Source organism: Homo sapiens, chromosome 22, assembly GCF_000001405.40.
Source record: "Homo sapiens chromosome 22, GRCh38.p14 Primary Assembly".
Taxonomy (NCBI): Eukaryota; Metazoa; Chordata; class Mammalia; order Primates; family Hominidae; genus Homo; species Homo sapiens.
In genome coordinates this window covers 46,129,179-46,146,516 of record NC_000022.11, presented here as the reverse complement: position 1 = coordinate 46,146,516, position 17,338 = coordinate 46,129,179, and the positions used below count along the sequence as shown (strand labels likewise).

The 17,338-nt window shown below is 56.4% G+C and overlaps 2 long non-coding RNA genes across 3 annotated transcripts, besides 1 other annotated feature; one reads left to right on the top strand and one right to left on the bottom strand.

Annotated features, from left to right (window-relative positions):
- LOC124905138 (uncharacterized) lies at positions 2,289–11,839 on the top strand. Its single transcript, XR_007068140.1, has 2 exons — positions 2,289–3,091; positions 5,372–11,839. It is a non-coding gene; the product is annotated as an uncharacterized LOC124905138 (long non-coding RNA).
- Positions 7,995–8,496: an enhancer, noted in NCBI's record as "H3K4me1 hESC enhancer chr22:46533901-46534402 (GRCh37/hg19 assembly coordinates)". NCBI's record gives its function as "activates a minimal SCP1, AML or CMV promoter by ChIP-STARR-seq in primed H9 embryonic stem cells {active_cell/tissue: H9 hESC(primed)}" and the evidence as "EXISTENCE:reporter gene assay evidence [ECO:0000049][PMID:30033119]".
- LOC124905137 (uncharacterized) lies at positions 8,450–17,027 on the bottom strand. 2 transcript variants are annotated; one of them, XR_007068138.1, is made up of 2 exons: positions 16,529–17,027; positions 8,450–12,140 (listed from the first exon to the last, which is right to left on the bottom strand). It is a non-coding gene; the product is annotated as an uncharacterized LOC124905137 (long non-coding RNA). The 2 variants fall into 2 exon arrangements; XR_007068139.1 differs by having other exon boundaries at positions 8,450–8,928.
- Between the last annotated feature and the right edge of the window lie 311 nt (positions 17,028–17,338).

The following is a 17,338-nucleotide window of genomic DNA, read 5'->3' as shown; positions in this document are numbered from 1 at the left end:
TTCTTCTCTTCTCTTCCCTTCCCTTCTCTTCTCTTCTCTTCTCTTCTCTTCTCTTCTCTTCTCTTCTCTTCTCTTCTCTTCTCTTCTCTTCTCTTCTCTTTTTGAGATGGAGTCTTGCTCTGCACTTATGTCCTTGCTGGAGTGCAGTGGTGAGATCTCGGCTCATTGCAACCTCCATCTCCCAGGTTCAAGTGATTCTCCTGACTCATCCTCCTGAGTAGCTGGGATTACAGGCACCTACCACCATACTCGGCTAATTTTTTGTATTTTTCATACAGACAGGGTTTCACCATGTTGACCAGGCTGGTTTCGAACTCCTGACCTCAGGTGATCCGCTCGCCTTGACCTCCTAAAGTGCTGGGATTACAGGCGTGAGCCGCTGCGCCCAACCAGATAGACATATTTGGTCCATAAAGGACAATCTGCTCTGTGTGGAGTTGGATTCTGCAATGATCTGACCCAGTGGTTGGCAGTGAGTGGCACTGCTGCGGCCAGGGAAGACTGCAAGTGCAGAGATGAGGTCTGGCATGACAGCCTGGAAACACACAAGACAGGCAAGCTTACGTGCACAGCACCGTGCCACGTGGGCACTGTCCCCCAACTTTCCCTCATGGAATGAGTGGGTGCCTGGGGTTTGGAGTTCAACAGAATTGGATTCAAATCCTCCTGTACCTTTTCCTCAAACTACAACCTCCAGCCGGTGATGCTATCCGAGCCCCCTCATCTCTAAAATGGGGCAGGGACGCCTTCCTGGATGGGTCCTGGTGTGAGTTTGAGGAGGGAGCACGGGGGTGGTGCAGGGTGGGGCCTGATGAGTGGGTCATATTTGGGACATGGTAACCACCAGCTTGAGGGCTCTGTCAAGAGTTGCCTCCTACAGGAAGCCTGCTTGGCAACCGTCCCCCTGCCAAAGCTGCCCTCTGCCTTGTGTGGCCACCACCTCCTGTGTTCCATGCGGCTCTTGTCGCATCCAGCACCATCTTTATGGCGGCCCACTGCCCGGTCCTGTCTCTCCACTCAGGACAGCCGACAGGCAGGCCTCATGCCTCGCAGACACCAGCCCCAGTGCCTACGTGTCTCCCGCCCGTGATCCCCTGTCCCACCCTATTATCTGCCTTTCACCAAAGCATCCTGCCAGCCAGGAAAGGCAATCTGAACCGGAGCCTGTGCAGCTGAGTGGAAGGGGGGCTGCCCTATTGCATTGCTCTGCTTGGGTTTCACTAAAACGTGGGATTGGGCCATGGTCCCTCATCTCCTGGAAGGGACAGGTCATGTTTGACAAAGTTTTCTGGGTCTGCAGCAAAGTGAAAAAAACAAAACAAAACAAAACAAAAAAACAAAAAACTGACATTGTGAAGAGTTTCCTATAGAACTTCAACTAGCTGATTTAAAGAAATACCTCGGGGCCAGGCGTGGTGGCTCATGCCTGTAATCCCAGCACTTTGGGAGGCCGAGGCAGGTGGACCATCTGAGGCCAGGAGTTCGAGACTAGCCTGGCCAACATGGTGAAACCCCATCTCTACTAAAAATACAAAAATTAGCTGCGCATGGTGGCACGTGCCTGTAGTCCCACCTACTCTGGGGGCTGAGGCAGGAGAATCGCTTGAACCCAGGAGGCGGAGGTTGCAGTGACTGGAGATTAGCCTGGGCGACAGAGTGAGACTCTGTCTCAAAAAAAAAGAAAAGAAAAGAAAAGAAAGAGCCTTGGGCTGGGCATGGTGGGCCTGTAATCCTAGCACCTAGGGAGGCTGAGGCAAGTGGATCACCTGAGACAGGAGTTCAAGACCAGCCTGACCAATATGGTGAAACCCGTCTCTACTAAATACAAAAAATTAACTGGGCGTGGTGGTGCATGCCTGTAATCCCAGCTACTTGAGAGGCTGAGGCAGAATTGCTTGAACCCTGGAGGCAGAGGTTGCAGTGAGCCAAGATTGCGCCATTGCACTCCAGCCTGGGCAACGAGAGTGAGAGTCCATCTCAAAAAGAAAAAAAAAAAGCAATAGCCTTTTTTTTCAGGCCAGGCATAGTGGCTCACACCTGTAATCCCAGCACTTTGGGAGGCAGAGGCGGGAGGATTGCTTGAGGCCAGGAGTTTGAGACCAGCCTGGGCAACATAATGAGACCCCGTCTCTACAAAAAGTAAAAAAAAAAAAAATTAGCCAAGCATGGTAGCACGTGCCTGTGGTCCCAGCTACTCAGGAGGCTGAGGTGTGAAGATCACTTGGGCCTGGGAGGTCAAGGCTACAACGAGCTGTGATTGCACCACTGCACTCCAGCCTGGGCAACATTGAGAGGCTCATTTCTTTTCTCAAAGAAAAACAAGACAAATATCCTTTTCCTTCCCAAGACTATATCCTTTATATTCTTTTGTTGTTGTTGAAAATACCTTTCCTTAGTGGGAATTGCTTAGATGAAGTGCTGATATTGGTTAGCTTTGACTTGGCAAAACCAAGATATTGGCAAACACCATGTTTGTCTCCAAAGCTGTTGAAAATGGCACCCATCTGTAAGAGCCCAAGGTCCAAGGGCCGACCCCTCACCCCTCAGATGTGCTTTATTTACTGATAAACATACAGCACCAAGAATTCTTGACATTTTCCCAATCTTTCCATGCCAGCTCTCTTCTCCATTTTATTAGTGATATTTATTTTCAAGTCAACACATTGGTTTGTGTTGAGACTTGCAGCGTTGGAATATAAAGTTCTATGTGAGGCCCTGATTTTGATCTTTCACAAAACCAAGGAGCAGGGTGCGGGCTACAACCTTGAGAACCTGCAGGAGCTACGCCCACACGGGCCTTGGCTGGCATGACATTGGACACCCTCCCAGGGGGGCCCCCGGCCTGGGGAAGAGCCTCCTCTCTGCCTGGGAGCCTCAAGGTGTGCAGAGGAGGGAGTTGGCTGGAGCCAGATGTGTGAAGGCAATCAGTGTTTCTCTGCAAGGTGACGGTGGCGTGGGGCAGGCAGACACAGGACCAGCATCCTGGCAGGCAGGGTTCTTGGATGGCTGGTGGGGAAGACAGGCTGGGAGACTGTCAATTCATCGTTCCCCCTCTCCAGGTGGAGGCATGAAATTAGATCAAAGCATCTTGGTGAGTATTCGTGATGAGTTGAGTTTTTAAAACAAAACCAAATAACTAGCTAGTGGGTGCTCAGTGGGTGGCAAGGACTGAGTTGGCCTTTCCAAGCATGACCCTGCTTCCCTGTCCAGCGTGCCCAGTGCTGACTTTCTCTCAGAGAACATGGTGGGCTCTGGGCTCCTGTGGAGTTTCCAGGACGTTTTCTCAGCTCTGCCTGTTCCCTGGCTCCCTGAGACTTTGGAGTGCGCTGCAGGAGGGACTGGCCATCTGCCCGGCCTGGTCTAGCTGCTGTTCACTCAGGGTTGGGTGCTCTCAGTACCTCCTCTCCCTGCTGGGCTAGGAGTCTGCCCTCACTGCCTCCTCATGCCTGGGGCAGACCTCAGTTTCCCACTAACCCCATTCTTCTAACTCCCTCTCTGTGTGCCTGCCTCCCTCATCACACCAGGAGGGGCTCCGGCAGAGGAACCCTGCCTTCCCCCATGTGTGGCCTCGGCTCCTAGTAGGCAGAATCCTTCCTGCTGCAAAATGGCTCCAGCTTCATGCTGCCCACCCTTGGAGTAAGAGTCAGCCCTGAGCCCAGGCAGGCCAGGGATGTGACTGAGAAGCATAAGCAGTGGGCACCTGGAGGGCCAGAGACGCAGGCTGAGGAGCTGGGATTGTCCTGCAGACAATGTTCTTGGGCAGCCAAGAAAGATGCTTGAGCACCGGCGGGCTCAGATGCAGGGGACCTTCCCAGTCCCCTGTCCTCACCTGCTCAGAGCCGGCAGAAGGAGCAGGAGCGGGGTCCTGAGACACTGTTCCATAAGGGACAATGGCACTGCTGCAAAGATACCACAATGGAAAGTGGTCTTGCCCTACTCGAAAGACAGTAGTTTGAGTGGGAACTCAAAAGTACCACTTGTGAGGCACAAGTCTGTCTTCTTTCTTTCCTTTTTTTTTTTTCCTGGTGCGGAGGGGAGGTTGGATCTTGCTCTGTCACCCAGGCTGGAGTACAGTGGCACAATCATGGTTCACTGCAGCCTCAAACTGCTGGGTTCACATAACCCTCCTGCCTCTGCCTCCTGAGTAGCTGGGACTACAGGTGTACACCACCATGACTGGCTAATTAAAAGTATTATTATTGGCCGGGCGCGGTGGTTCACGCCTGTAATCCCAGCACTTTGGGAGGCTGAGGCGGGCAGATCACAAGGTCAGGAGATCGACTAAAACACAGTGAAACCCCATCTGTACTAAAAATACAAAAATTAGCCAGGCGTGGTGGTGTGCACCTGTAGTCCCAGCTGCTGGGGAGGCTGAGGCAGGAGAATGGCGTGAACCCGGGAGGCGGAGCTTGCAGTGAGCCGAGATGGCACCACTGCACTCCAGCCTGGGCAACAGAGCGAGACTCCATCTCAAAAAAAATATATATATATATATATATATATATTTATTATTATTATTACTATTTGTATTATTATTTGCAGAAGGGATCTTGGTATGTTGCCCAGGGTGGTCTTGAACTTCTAGCCTCCAGTGATCCTCTCACCTTGACATCCAAAGTACTGGGATTACTGGCATGAGCCCAGTGTGTGGCCTCAAGTCCATTTTTTAAAGTATTTCGGTGGCAAGCTTATGCAGGCATGGCAAAGCAAAAGTGATCAAATCCAGTGAGGGTGCTGCTTACAGGGAGTTAACAAGTGACTCGGGTAATTATGTAAATTCTAAACTCTTAGCATCCGCCTCAGAAGGTGTTAGATTCAGGAAATGGCAAACAAAACTGAAAACAGAAAAACAACTATAGGAAAATGCCCATGTGTTTTACAAGGCAGGCTCTGCTTCAGCCGTGAAAGTGGATCAGGAGTTAATCTGTTTCTGCAGACGCATTTTATGAATAGCAAATCAGTTTCTCCCTGTTCCTCCTACATCGAGGCTGGACACACCTTTACAGGGGATCAGTGTGAAGGGAAGCTGGTGAGGCTGCCTGGGAAGCCCCCTGCCTGCGTCTCCCAGTGGACTTCTTGGGAGCGCCCCCTCCCTGCCTCTGCCCCTCAGCGCCTGAACTGTGGCCACTTGCACTCCTGTTGCCTCCCCAGTGGCTTGAACTCCAGAACTTGCCACCCTTCAGTGGAATTCCTGGAGGAGTGAGGAGCTCTGTGCTATGCTTGGCCACCGAACATGGGCCATCTCTTCTATTATGGTTTGAAATGTCCTCTAGTGTCTTGTTTGGTAATTTTCTAATAATATGGGGAGACCGCGCGGGTGTCCGCTAGCTTGTCTGCTGGTTCTTACTCATGGTGCCTTCTTCCCTTTCAGACTTGGATATCTTTGTGTGCGTCTTGGGGCCCTTTGAAGGGTGTCTGTGGGGTTTCCGTGAGGCCAAGGACAGAGGTTCCTTCTCACAAGGATAGTGTTTACTTTCACATGGACAGCCCAGACCACCTGGAACCAAGTGCACAGAAGCCCCACCATCTCCGGGCCTCCCGGGTGTGATGGGCAAGGGGTCCAAGTCCGCAGGAGCTCCGAGGCTCTTTGTGCTTGAATCCGTGAGTTTCCTTTCCTTTTTTCCTCCCACTCCTTTTAATGCTAACGAATTCCTTGTTTTGGGGCAGGGGCCAGGGTTATCTCTGCTTCAGTCTTCACCCAAGGTGAGGCCTTTCACGCTTCCAGCTTGATATGCCCCTATCAGGCTCCTCATACCTTGACCTCTGTCTACCCCTCTACTCCCTCCAAGGTCAAAGCCCAACTTGCCAGGTTGGCAAATGCTCGCAGGCACCAGTGACCCCAGCGTTCTTCTCTAGGTTCTTGGTTTCCCCCTGAAACTTGGCCTGGAGGTTTCCCACTAGCTTAGCAGCCCTTTGATGCATTTAACTTAATTTTGTTATTGTTTTATCCAAAATTCTTGCTTGTTTTCAGAGGGAAAGGGGGTCTGCCATTACTGCACAGAGAATCTGGGACAGTTATTATAACCATAGAAATTTATTTTCCATGTGCTGTCCCATCTTCTTGATGAGACAGATGTTTAACAGCTGGAGAACTGGACCCATCTTTGTCCCCATCTTGCCTAGCAACAGAAGGTGGTCACTAATCAGGGATTTTCGAGCCCGTTGCTTAAGGCCGTCGTTGACCCAAAGGATAGTGAGTCCCTGCTCCTCTTCCTGAGGAGAGGCCCAGGTGCCCAGAGGGCCCTCCTGGCTTGGCTGCCTGCAGAGTGGCTGATGAAATGTCCGCTGTGTGCACAGGGCACCCAGCCCCGCTGCTCCCCAGGCAGCCCCGCAAACAGCTGTTCCTCTGCCTGCTTCCAGCTGTGGACCTGAGACCGAGAGGCTGAGCCATCGCCCTGAGCCGCATGCAGGGGAGTGGCAGGCCCGGACCCAGTGCCCAGACCTGGCTCACGTGACCCTGCTTTTTCCACTGTGTCTGCGGCTCCCTCCCAGGCTCTGTGACCTTGGGCAGCCATGGCCGTCCTGCGCCCATTCCCAGCTGTAAAATGAGAGGCTGGGCTGGCCGATCTCAAATGTCCCCTGCCAGCCCGAGATTCTGTGTTTTGTCCTGCGGTGTGACCGTGACATGCCTCCAAAGGCAGCTGCCAGTGCTCACGAGGGAGGCCTTTTTCCTGAGTTAAGGCGGGTGGGGGGACTGGGGGTGAGTTGAGGGACTGGGAGGTGGGGGAAGCACACACACGGTCCTCCCCAGCTGTGCCCTCGTGGTGAATTACCTTCAGTCCCAGGCTCAGTGCTTTGGAAATGCTCTCAGGCCCAGCACCCAGGCCTGGAACCAGCCTCCAGGCCCCTGGCCCTCCCTTTCTCTACTGGAATCTTCCAGACCGAGGCAGGTCAGCTGAAAGTCACCGACTCTGCCTTCCACAAACTCGTAGCTGACAGACCATCCCATGTCCCCTCCCAGCCCCGTCCCAGGAGGGGAACTCGCTTTGCCTTCCCACCCTCCAGGCCGACTCACTGTCCGTCACTCTCTGGGTCCCACCCACTGTCCCACCAACTTCATTGGTCTAAAAATATGCTCTGGCATCTTGTTGGAAAGCAGCAGGAATGATGGGCCCTGCTGATAAGGTGAAGAAAGTGACCCGAGGGGGCAAACTTACAGACGGGACATACTTTGGCAAAATAACAAAACAGCGGGACCTGAAGGCTGGCTTCCCAAGCGTCCTCGAGGCCTTGTGCCAGGAAGAGGACCCTCGGGCTTAGGGAAGTGAAAACCAGGCTCAGGTCCCTCACCCAGTCCCTTCTGCCCACTTTGGGAGGGAGCCCAAGAAGTCAGCTAGGGGGGGACCTCCCAGTGGGACCTGAGTCCTGATTGGAACTTTCTCGGGGGGTTTCTTGGGGACAGGACCCCATGGAATCCTCTGTGAGTACTCAGGGCCAGGCTCAGGCCCGTAAGAAAGATGCAGGCAGCTGAGAGAGGTACCCTTTACCCTTCCCCGCCTGTTTTTTTTTTTTGTTTTTTTTTTTTTTTTGAGGCAGAGTCTCGCTCTGTCACCCAGGCTGGAGTGCAGTGGTACAATCTTGGCTCACTGCAACCTCCGCTTCCTGGGTTCAAATGATTTTCCTGCCTCAGCCTCCTGAGTAGCTGGGAGCATGCACCACCACACCCAGCTAATTTTTGTATTTTTAGTAGAGACGGGGTTTCACCATGTTGGCCAGGCTGGTCTGGATCTCCTGACCTCAAGTAATCCGCCCGCCTCAGCCTTCCAAAGTGCCAGCATTACAGGAGTGAGCCACCGTGCCCAGCCTCCTGTTCACCGCTTGTTCTGAGAGTCTGAGCTGGAATCCTGGCTCTGCTGGGGGACCTGCACGGATCACCTCACCTCTCTGCGCCTGTTTTCCATAGGAAGAAGAAGGCTACCTTCGGAAGGTCACTGTGAGGGTCAGAGGTTACGAAGGTCAACAGGGCGCATGTCAACGAGTTGTCGCCCTGGCTTTGCCCCTGCTCTGCCCACCCTGCCCTTTCATTTCTCATTTGCCCACCTGCACAGCCCACCCCCGGGCCAAGCCCTGCACTGCTGATGGCTCCGCAGGCCTGGGCAGAGACCCTGGGCCCAACACCTGGAGTCCACCATGGTCATGTCTCTTCCTCTCTCTCCAGCTCTCCACTTCCATCCCATTGCTTTGCACTTGCTTTTCCTTCTGTAGGGCAACTCCTCCCTTCACTTCTGTTTTTCCTTTAAGGATTTACTTCAGGCACCACCTCCTCCAGGAAGGCCTCCCTGATCACTCCTCCCCGTGTTGTGTTCCTCTTCCTTACTCCCTCAGCCCCAGTGCCTCTTGCTGATTTCACTTTATTATATTTGTTGACTAAGTCATCTCCCTCACTAGACTGGAAGTTTCTTGGGAATCTGGATCTCATCTGAGGTGATTAAAACAGTAACTACAGGAATGATGGAATCACCATTTAATAACCATTATAATAATAACCCATCCAGGTGGAGTCATCTAAGGATGCTAAAATTAGCGGGTGAAAATTTGAGTAATAGGATATTTACAAAGTCTCAAAGTATCGCCCAACAAGATGCTTGTTAATGACAAAAGGAAACACAGTAACTTTTCAGTGGAGAAATCTGGCCAACTCCGTATTCATCAAGTGATCAGCAGGAATGAAAGAGACATCAACAAATACCTTCTTCCTCTCATAAAGACCCTTGTGCTTACCTGGGACCCACTGAGATCACCTAAGAGAATCTTGCCATCTTCAGATGTTTCATCACATTTGCAAAGACCTTTTGCCATGAAAGGTGACATGTCTGCAGATCCTGAGGATTAGGGCGTGAACATCTTGGGGGGCACCTGGCTCTGCCACTGGCTGCCGGTGGGGCCTTGGGCAAGTCACTTCACAGCTCCGTGCCTCGGTTTCCCCATCTGTGAAGAGGGGATAATGATAGGCCTACCTCATTCGGTTGCTGAAAGGACCGCGAAGGTGACATCTGTGAGGTCCTGGGGTAGGGCCTGGCTCTTGGTCAGTGCTGCGTGGAGGTTTGTGTTCGTGTGGGCATGGGGATGAGCGCTTCTGGGAAATGGCCCAGGAGGAGGAGTCGGGGGAGGGGAGAGTGAAGTATCTGCAGAGACAGGAAACCATCCCTGTGACGGGTGATACATTTTCTGAGACTTCCAAGAGGCTGGCTGTGCTGTCCATGGGCCTGGGGCACGGTTCCCAACACCCAGCCAGGAGCTGCTCAACTCTGGCTCCTAAAAGGCAAATGTACAGCCCTGGAGGGGAAGCGGGCCTGTGCCCTGGGGCTCACGGGAGGCTCCTGGCGGGAGGGCAACGTGGCTGCCACCCCCAGGGAGATGTCCTGCTCCATCGAGCCACGGTGCAGGTGGGGACATGGAGGCCCAGAGGGGACAAGACGGCCTGGGCGCCACATTTCCCTGGCTCCTGCCTCTGGCCTGCAGCTGCTTCCACACACCTACTGCAAATGCCGGTGCTGTGGGCAGTGGCCTTGTTTCTGGAGCCTCCCATGGCCCTGGCCCATGTAGCTGAGGGACTGACCGCTTAGGCCAGTAGGCAGGACAGCTGTCCATCTGTACATCACTCCTTCTCGAGCCTGGTGCTGCCTGCGCCCACACTCAGAACACGCCTGGCACACCCTGGAGCGAGGGACAGGAGGGCAGGAAGGTGGCCTAAGGCAGCCGTGACCACACGGCCGGTGAGGGGCTGCTCTTGCTTGGATTCCACCGGTTGACAGAAAGAGGAATGGCGTGTCTGTCAGGGTCGTGCCCTCTCACGTTGCTGGGAGATCCCTGCAGTCTGCCCTTGGAATCCCAGAAACCAGAGTGAGCAAATCTGTCCGACTTTCAGCAGGGGTCTGTGTGCCGCCCAGAGATGGGAGTTGGGAGTTCCCCAAGGCCACGGCTCCACCTCCTTGCTCAGCAGAGAAAGGCAGGAGTGGGAGCAACCAGCTCCACACCAAGTACCTGGTGAAGCCTGCCTGCCACGTTGGGCCTGCCATACCTGTGTGCACAAGGGCATGTGCTTGTGTCTGTGTGTGTGTGCGCACACATACATGTGAGCAGGCACGTGTGTGCACAGGTACATGTGAGCAGGCATGTGTGTGCACATGTGTACGTGTGTGGCACCTGTGTTAGCACATGTGTATATGCATGTACAAATACGCATATGTGCTTGCACACGTCTGTGTACACACATACCTGTGTGTGCATGCATGAATGCACCCGTGTGTGTTGCATGTATATGTGAGTGAGCACCTGTGCATGTCTCTGTATATGCATATGGGTGTGTGTGCTATTTGTGTGCACACATGTACATGTCTGCGTGTGTGAGTTTCTTGTTACTCCCTCGGACAATCAGGAGCGGTGGAGGTGGAGGTGGAGACAAAGCCAGAAGTGAGAGAAGCAGATGTCCCGGGCCTGGGGCCCATCCTACACCAACTCGGCACCGGCAAAGTCAAGGTTGGCAGAGACAAGGTCGGCAGAGCCAGGAGGCGTCCCAGGACAATGGCGCCAGCACCTTTGACCTTCTCTGACAATTATTTCCCAACTTTTCCCCATGGAGGGCATCTTGCCTGTGTCTTTTGGTTTCAAGCCCGTTCTAAAAGCCAGCCTCATGTCCTTGTGGAAGCTTCATTTTCCAGTTAGCTCCCCACGGACGCATACAGGCCAGCGCTCCATGGAGCCCTTCCCCGCCGGCCAGCTTCCATCACCCACAGCTTGCCACCCTTCCCCAGGGCTCTGAGGGGACTTCTCTTAAAAGTTCAACAGGAATTCGAACGGCCGTCCATTTCCCTATCATTTGCTGCAATCAGGGAACAAAGATGATGATTGTAGCGGCTTGTGGGAAAGGGACACAAAGAATGTATTTTTTCCTTTCCTTATCCGAGCAGGGTCTCTAGGCCCATGGGCTGCCTGGGAATTCCGAAGCTGCGGGGAGGAGCTGGGGCAGGGGGTGGGGTGGTCATCCCCGCAGCACCTCCTGGGCATCCATCCTAGCCTGCATGGCCCATGCCTGGCCCATGTGCATGTGTGGGATGTACTTGGCCTCTCTTTCTCTCTTCCTGACACAAGCCTCCCTGACCTTCTCCAGGCCCCTTGCTGGCTTCAGCCTCTTCCCAGCCTGCCACCCTCCCTGGGTGCTCTCCGGATCCCCAGGCGCCAGTGTCTCCCATGCTGCCTCCAGCTGCCCCCTGCCTCCTGAGCTGCCAACTTGGGTGCCTCACAGGAATCCCCAAACTGCCCTGAAGCCTGACCTCTCTCAGTGCTCCCTGTCTTGGTGTAGGGCATCGCCTGCCAGTCAGTTATTTCTAAGCCAGAAATCTGTGCGTGGCCTAACAGCCCCTCTGCCCTCCACACCAGTGACCACCTCCTAGGAGTGGCTTCCTCAACACCTTGCCACCCTTGACACTGTCACTGTCACCTGTGCCCTGGCAGGCCGCCTGCTCCCCAAGTAGCTCCCTACTGCACTCCCCTGCCCCTCTCAGCCCTTCTTGCAAAGTGCCTCTGGGCCAGGTGCAGGGGCTCACGCCTATAATCCCAGCACTTTGGGAGGCTAAGGCAGGTGGATCACTTGAGGTCAGGAGTTCGAGACCATCCTGGCCAACATGGCAAAACCCTGTCTCTACTAAAAATACAAAAATTAGCCGGGCGTAGTGGTGCACGCCTGTAATCTCAGCTACTTGGGATGCTGAGGCAGGAGAATTGCTTGAACCCGGGAGGCGGAGGTTGCAGTGAGTGGAGATCAAGCCATTGCACTCCAGCTGGAGCGATAGAGCAAGACTCTTATCTCGAACAAAATTAAAACATGAAAATAAAAACACCTCTGACCCTGTCACTCTGTCTAAAGTGTTCTGGAGCCTTCCTGTGGCCACAGGATGAAGCCCCCAGCGTCACGTGCCTCTGGCTCATGGGGAATGACAAGGACACTGAACCTGCAGGGTTGGGCATGCCGGGAGCTCTAGGTGCAGGTCCGCTGGCCGCACCTCCGCTGAGGGTCCTGCACAGATGCGCGTCCTGGCTGCCCAGGCCTCCTGGGAGGGTTTTCTTGTTGTGCACTCATCGTTTTTGGCCCCAGACAGTCATGGAATTCAAAGTTTTCCAGACACCACAGGCCACGGAATCTTAAGAGGACAGGAGGACCGCATGTCAAGGATTACCATTGCCCTCTGCAGGAGGAGGGAGATGCAGAGCTGTCCGGGGCTGGACAGGGGCAGGTTTGCTCTGGGTGGGGGATGCGGAGGTGACCCCATCTCTGGCCCAGACCCCAGGATCACCAGGCCAGTGGTGAGTGCACTGGTTCGTGGCTTGGGCAGTTGGGGTTGGGGGTCAGGAGGCCCCTCCCAGGCATGAGGCCCGTTGCTTTCCAGGTAGAAGGGGTGGGGTGGGGAAGGCGCTGTGGGGAGAGGGGGCAGCAGGAATGTTCCAGCAGGGAGAACACCCAGACCAGACTGGAGCAATGGCCGGACCCCCATTCTCAGGTTTTGTAAGAACTTGCTCATTTAATCTCCACACTGGCCCTATGGGATGGCACCAGTGATCCCCATTCTGTGGGTGAGGAAACTGAGGCAGAGGGGTCACAGAGCTAAAACTGGTGGAGCCGGGATTTGAACCAGGGACTCAGCTCTGGAGGCTGGGCTTCTAAGCGTCATGCAGTCCTGACTTTGGGGCTTGGGGGGTTTGGGGGTCCAAGGGCGAGGCGGGACAACCACAGGGTGCCAGGGCCAGCTTTACACTGCACCACAGGGCTGGGGAGGTGCAGGTGGCTGGGAGACGGGTGTCTGGGAGGGGAGGGCAGTGACCAAGAGAGAGTGAGGAGCCCAGGATAGCTTGAGCCCCAAGTGAGAGCTGGGGCCTTTGCCCTGGAAGGAGGACTGACAGGGAGGTGTGGGGTGAAGAGGCCAGCAGGGCCCTGTGGCAGGGCCGGGGAGGGAGCTGAGCGCTGCCTGGGGCTCTGTGAGTTCCCAGCCAGCCGATGTTCCCCTGTAGCCCTCCTTGGAGCTGTGGGCTGGCACTTCAGGGGCCAATGTGACCTGTGACCCGGTGCCAGGCTGGAAAGGACCTGCTAAGTGGACGGAGGTGGCTGCAGGCTGCATCATCTGCGGGTCAAGAGGCCTTCAAAGGTGGCCCAAAGCCATCCCTCCCTGGGGGCCAGGCACTCAGACCTTCAGGCTGTGCCCAGCTGCCTTGCCAGAGCCTCAGGCCCCCCAGCATGCCAGCCATCTGCCCCTGTACCCAGCACACCCGGAAAGCTGAGGATGCCACGGGCTCCTGCTAGGATTCCATAGAGCTCACATCTCCTTCCTGGGAGTCCGCAGCCCTTCGGACCCCCAGCCCCAGCAGCCCCCACAGCCCAGGGCTGACTGCCCCAGGACGGGAGAAAACTGCGGGTTCGTGGCCCCAGGCCTGGATGCCGTGGCCTGAACAGAGGAGAGAGCTTGGTGCAAGGGTCAGGAGGCTCGGCTTCCAGCCCTGGCCGGCACTGACCATGGCGTGACCTTGGCCTGGCCTTTGGACTCTCAGGGCCACGTCGCACAGGAGTGAGGAGGCCCTTTGGCCTAGTGGCTTTAGGGACAGCTGTGCCCTTGATAATACAGCAACCCAGCCCCCTGCTGCTCCCTGGCTGTCAGTGGCCCCCCAACCCAGCTGGACCCCACTGTGCCCTCTGCCTCGGAGCACCAGCCAGCAGCCGGTACTTGGGCAACTGCCTCCATTGCAGGGCCAGGTCAGTGGTATGCAGCCCAAGGTGGCTGTCACCTCAGGACTGTGCGAGACCAAGCTCCTCCCACCCGGCCTTGTCACCTCTTCTCCTTGTGCCCAGGGACCTCCCAGCTGCTGTCAAGTGGGTGGCTACCACCATGGCGCTGGCCAGCACAGGCCAGGTACACAGAAAGCATTAACTACAAGATGAGGCCGGGTGCAGTGGCTCACGCCTCTAATCCCAGCACTTTGGGAGGCTGAGGCAGGTGGATCACTTGAGGTCAGGAGTTCAAGACCAGCCTGGCCAACATGGCGAAACCCCATCTCTACCCAAAAGACAAAAAATTGGCTGAGTGTAGTAGCACATGCCTGTAATCCCAGCTACGTGGGAGGCTGAGGTAGGAGAATCGTTTGAACCTGGCAGGCAAAGGTTGCAGTGAGCCAAGATCACCCCACTGCACTCCAACCTGGGCGACAGAGTGAGACTCTGTCTCAAAACAAACAAACAAAGAAAAAAAAAACAACTACAAGATGAGAGTCTGTGTTGGGTCTGCACAGCAGACCAGGGGCCTGAGCCCTCTCTGTGGGGTGGAGAGTGCCGGGTCCCTGCATGCTGCTTCACGGGTGACCTGATGGCTGAGAGCAGCTAGTGCTGAGGCTGTGCAGATCTCAGCGTCCAGTGGGGGGCTGCAGACCCCAGCACCCTGGGTCCGAATCCTGCTGCTCGTCCTGAGGTATGAGAGCCACAAGCACCCGGGCATGGGCACTGATGGCTCTTGGGAAACCCAGGGGCGATGAGGCTGCTCCTGGCACAACCCCTGTCCCAGTCACCCTGGCCACCCACACTCTTAGCTCCTGCCACTGCTGCCCCAGTCTGGGGCCTGTCTCCAGCCCAGCCCCCCGACCCACACTCCTGAAGGCGAGGTGCTTCTGGAAGCCTGCCCCCAACTGCGCCCCCTCTTCCCCTCCTGTGTTTCTCCCTGAGCCCAGGGTCTCATTTGTGCTGCTCGCTGCTGATCCCGGGGCCCTGCACTGAAGGCCCTGAAATAGGCCTGGGGGTCTCAGGAGGTGTCCCATAAATATGGTGGGCGTGTTCCGGACAACCTCGGTGACCTCTGTGGCCAGCTCAGTGTCTTCATTCCGTCCCCTCCCCTCATGTGCACAGGGCCCAAGTCTATCCCCAGCCTCCGCTGCCTCCCTCCCCTCTGCCTGCCTAGAGCACTTTCCCTCCTTCCATGGCCCACACTGAACGCAGGGCTCTCTCTCTGAACCCCAAACCCACCAGTGCCCCCTGCCGGACCCACCCACTTCCCTCCACCTCAGCCTTCACACATGCTGTTCCCCATGCCCGAAACACCCTTCCTGCCCTTGCTACCTGGGACCCAACTTGTAGGGAGGGGCTTCCCTGGGGCTTAGCAGGAGTGACCCCTGCCCTGTAACCTTACGGTGGCGTCAGCCCTGGCACCTGCCCAGCGCTCCCAGGAGAGGGCGCTCTCACTGCTCTTACGGCTGTTTGCCTGGATGTGGGCTAGGAGGGGGGCACCGTCTGAGCCAGGCCCATCCCCGGCGTGAATCCCTGTGCCGGGGCTGACGAGATTGGGCCTGGGAGGGTAGAGGGACTGGTCCTGGGAATGGGGCCAGAGGCCTGGCAGCACCAATCCCAGACCCAGTCTCTGCCAGAGGCAGGGGGCCGCTGAATCCACGCCCCTCATCCATCACTGGAGAGAGTTGAGGGCCGTGGGATGCAGCCCCTGCCTCATGTCCTATCCCCACCAGCTTCCTGTCCACACTGCAGGGCGCCTGCCTGGGGAAGCCCCCACCTACCAACCTGCCCTCTCTGCCCCAACCCTCGTGACCCCAATCCAGAATCCACACCCAGCCAGAAGGAACTTTCAAAAGACTCCTCTGGGCCGGGCGTGGGGCTCATGCCTGTCATCCCAGCACTTTGGGAGGCCCAGGTGAGTGGATCCCTTGAAGCCAGGAGTTCAAGACCAGCCTGTCTAATATGGTGAAACCCCAACTCTACTAAAAATAAAAAAAAATTAGCCAGGTGTGGTGGCGGACGCCTGTAGTTCCGGCTACTCGGGAGGCTGAGGCAGGAGAATCGCTTGAACCTGGGAGGCGGAGGTTGCAGTGAGCCGAGATCGCACCACTGCACTCCAGCCTGGGCGACAGAGTGAGACTCCATCTCAAAAAAGCAACAACCACAACCACCAGCACCAAAACACTCCTCTCATCTTATCACTCACCTGCTAAAACCTTCAATGACTTCCTATGGCCCTCAGGGACCCACGGGTGCCCAAGGCCCTTGGTGGCCTGCCCACCCTCCCCTGACCCCCAAGCCCCGTCCCTGGCAGGGGCTTCCTCACCTGTGGAGGCTGTGCACGCTTCTCCTCACCCCACAGCCCTGCTTCATCTCTGCTCTTTGCCCTTCAGGACTCAGGTTAGTGGTCAGGAAGCCCTCCGTGATTCTCAGGCTGGTGAGGGCACACCTCCCATGGCCCATGCATGCTCCCTGTAGGTGCCTTCACCCACATAGAATGGATTTTGGTGCCAGCCTCCCGATGAGGCCGGACGTTCCTGGTTCATGCCGGGGAGGCAAACCTCACTATGGGGATTGGGGCTGCGTGTGCAGGCAGGGTGCTGACTTAGAGTCCACGGATGTGCTCCTGCTGCTCCTCCCGCCAGCCTTGGTTTCCCCATCTGTGAAATGGGGAGCAGTCCCCCAGCACAGGGGCAGTGGGGTGTGCTGGGGAGAGTGTGGTTGTGGCTCTGTCCAGTGGTTGCCTGCAACACCCACTCTGTCACTCACCACCGCGTGACCTCCAGTTGACTTCCCCTGTCCTCTGTTTCCTGGCTGTGAAATGGGGACGACCGCAGTGGCCGAAACTCGGGACTCCGCGGATGATGTGCAGCAGACACCGTCAGAGTCAGGCTCGTGGGAGCAGCCCAGGGACCAGAGCAGTCAGGGAGCTCCCAGCCTGGCCCAGGCAGGAGGCTGGCACTGGGAGGGTCCCAGGGAGGGAGGGCCCGCCTGAGGACACAGCGGGCATGCTGTTGGCCCTTCCCTGACTGCCCACCCTTAGGAAGGTCGTTGGCCTCCTAAGCAGTCCGCCCCTCTGAGGCCTCGCAGCATGGCCAGGCCTCACTGTGTTCCCAGGCCCTGGGTCATGGCCTCGCAGCCCGGCTGTTCCTGGGAGCTGGCCCTGGCCGAACGCGGCACTCAGCCAAGCCGTATTTCCGCATTTACCACTGGAATCACAGCCCCGTAAAGCAGAGGGGCCACTTCCTCTTCCTCCTCCTCCTCCTGCAGCAAGAGAGGCACCAAGGCCACCCCTCTGCAGCTGCAGGTCACCTCGGGTGGCTGGCCGCCAGCCCTTGCCTGGGCTGAGAGCCCCTCCAGCCGCACAGGCTCTGGGTGAAGACACTGGGGGCTGGCACAGGCTTGGGGTGGACGAGCGAGTGTCAGGGATGAAAGCAGCCGCGTGGAACCTGAGGCCGTGCTGGCCTGGACTGGGCACTTCACTCCCTGTGCCTCAGTTTCCCCATCTCCTTCCCCTCTCCACTGACTATTCTGTTCACCAAAAGCCAGGTGGGCCCAGCACCACAACAAGCCCTGGCC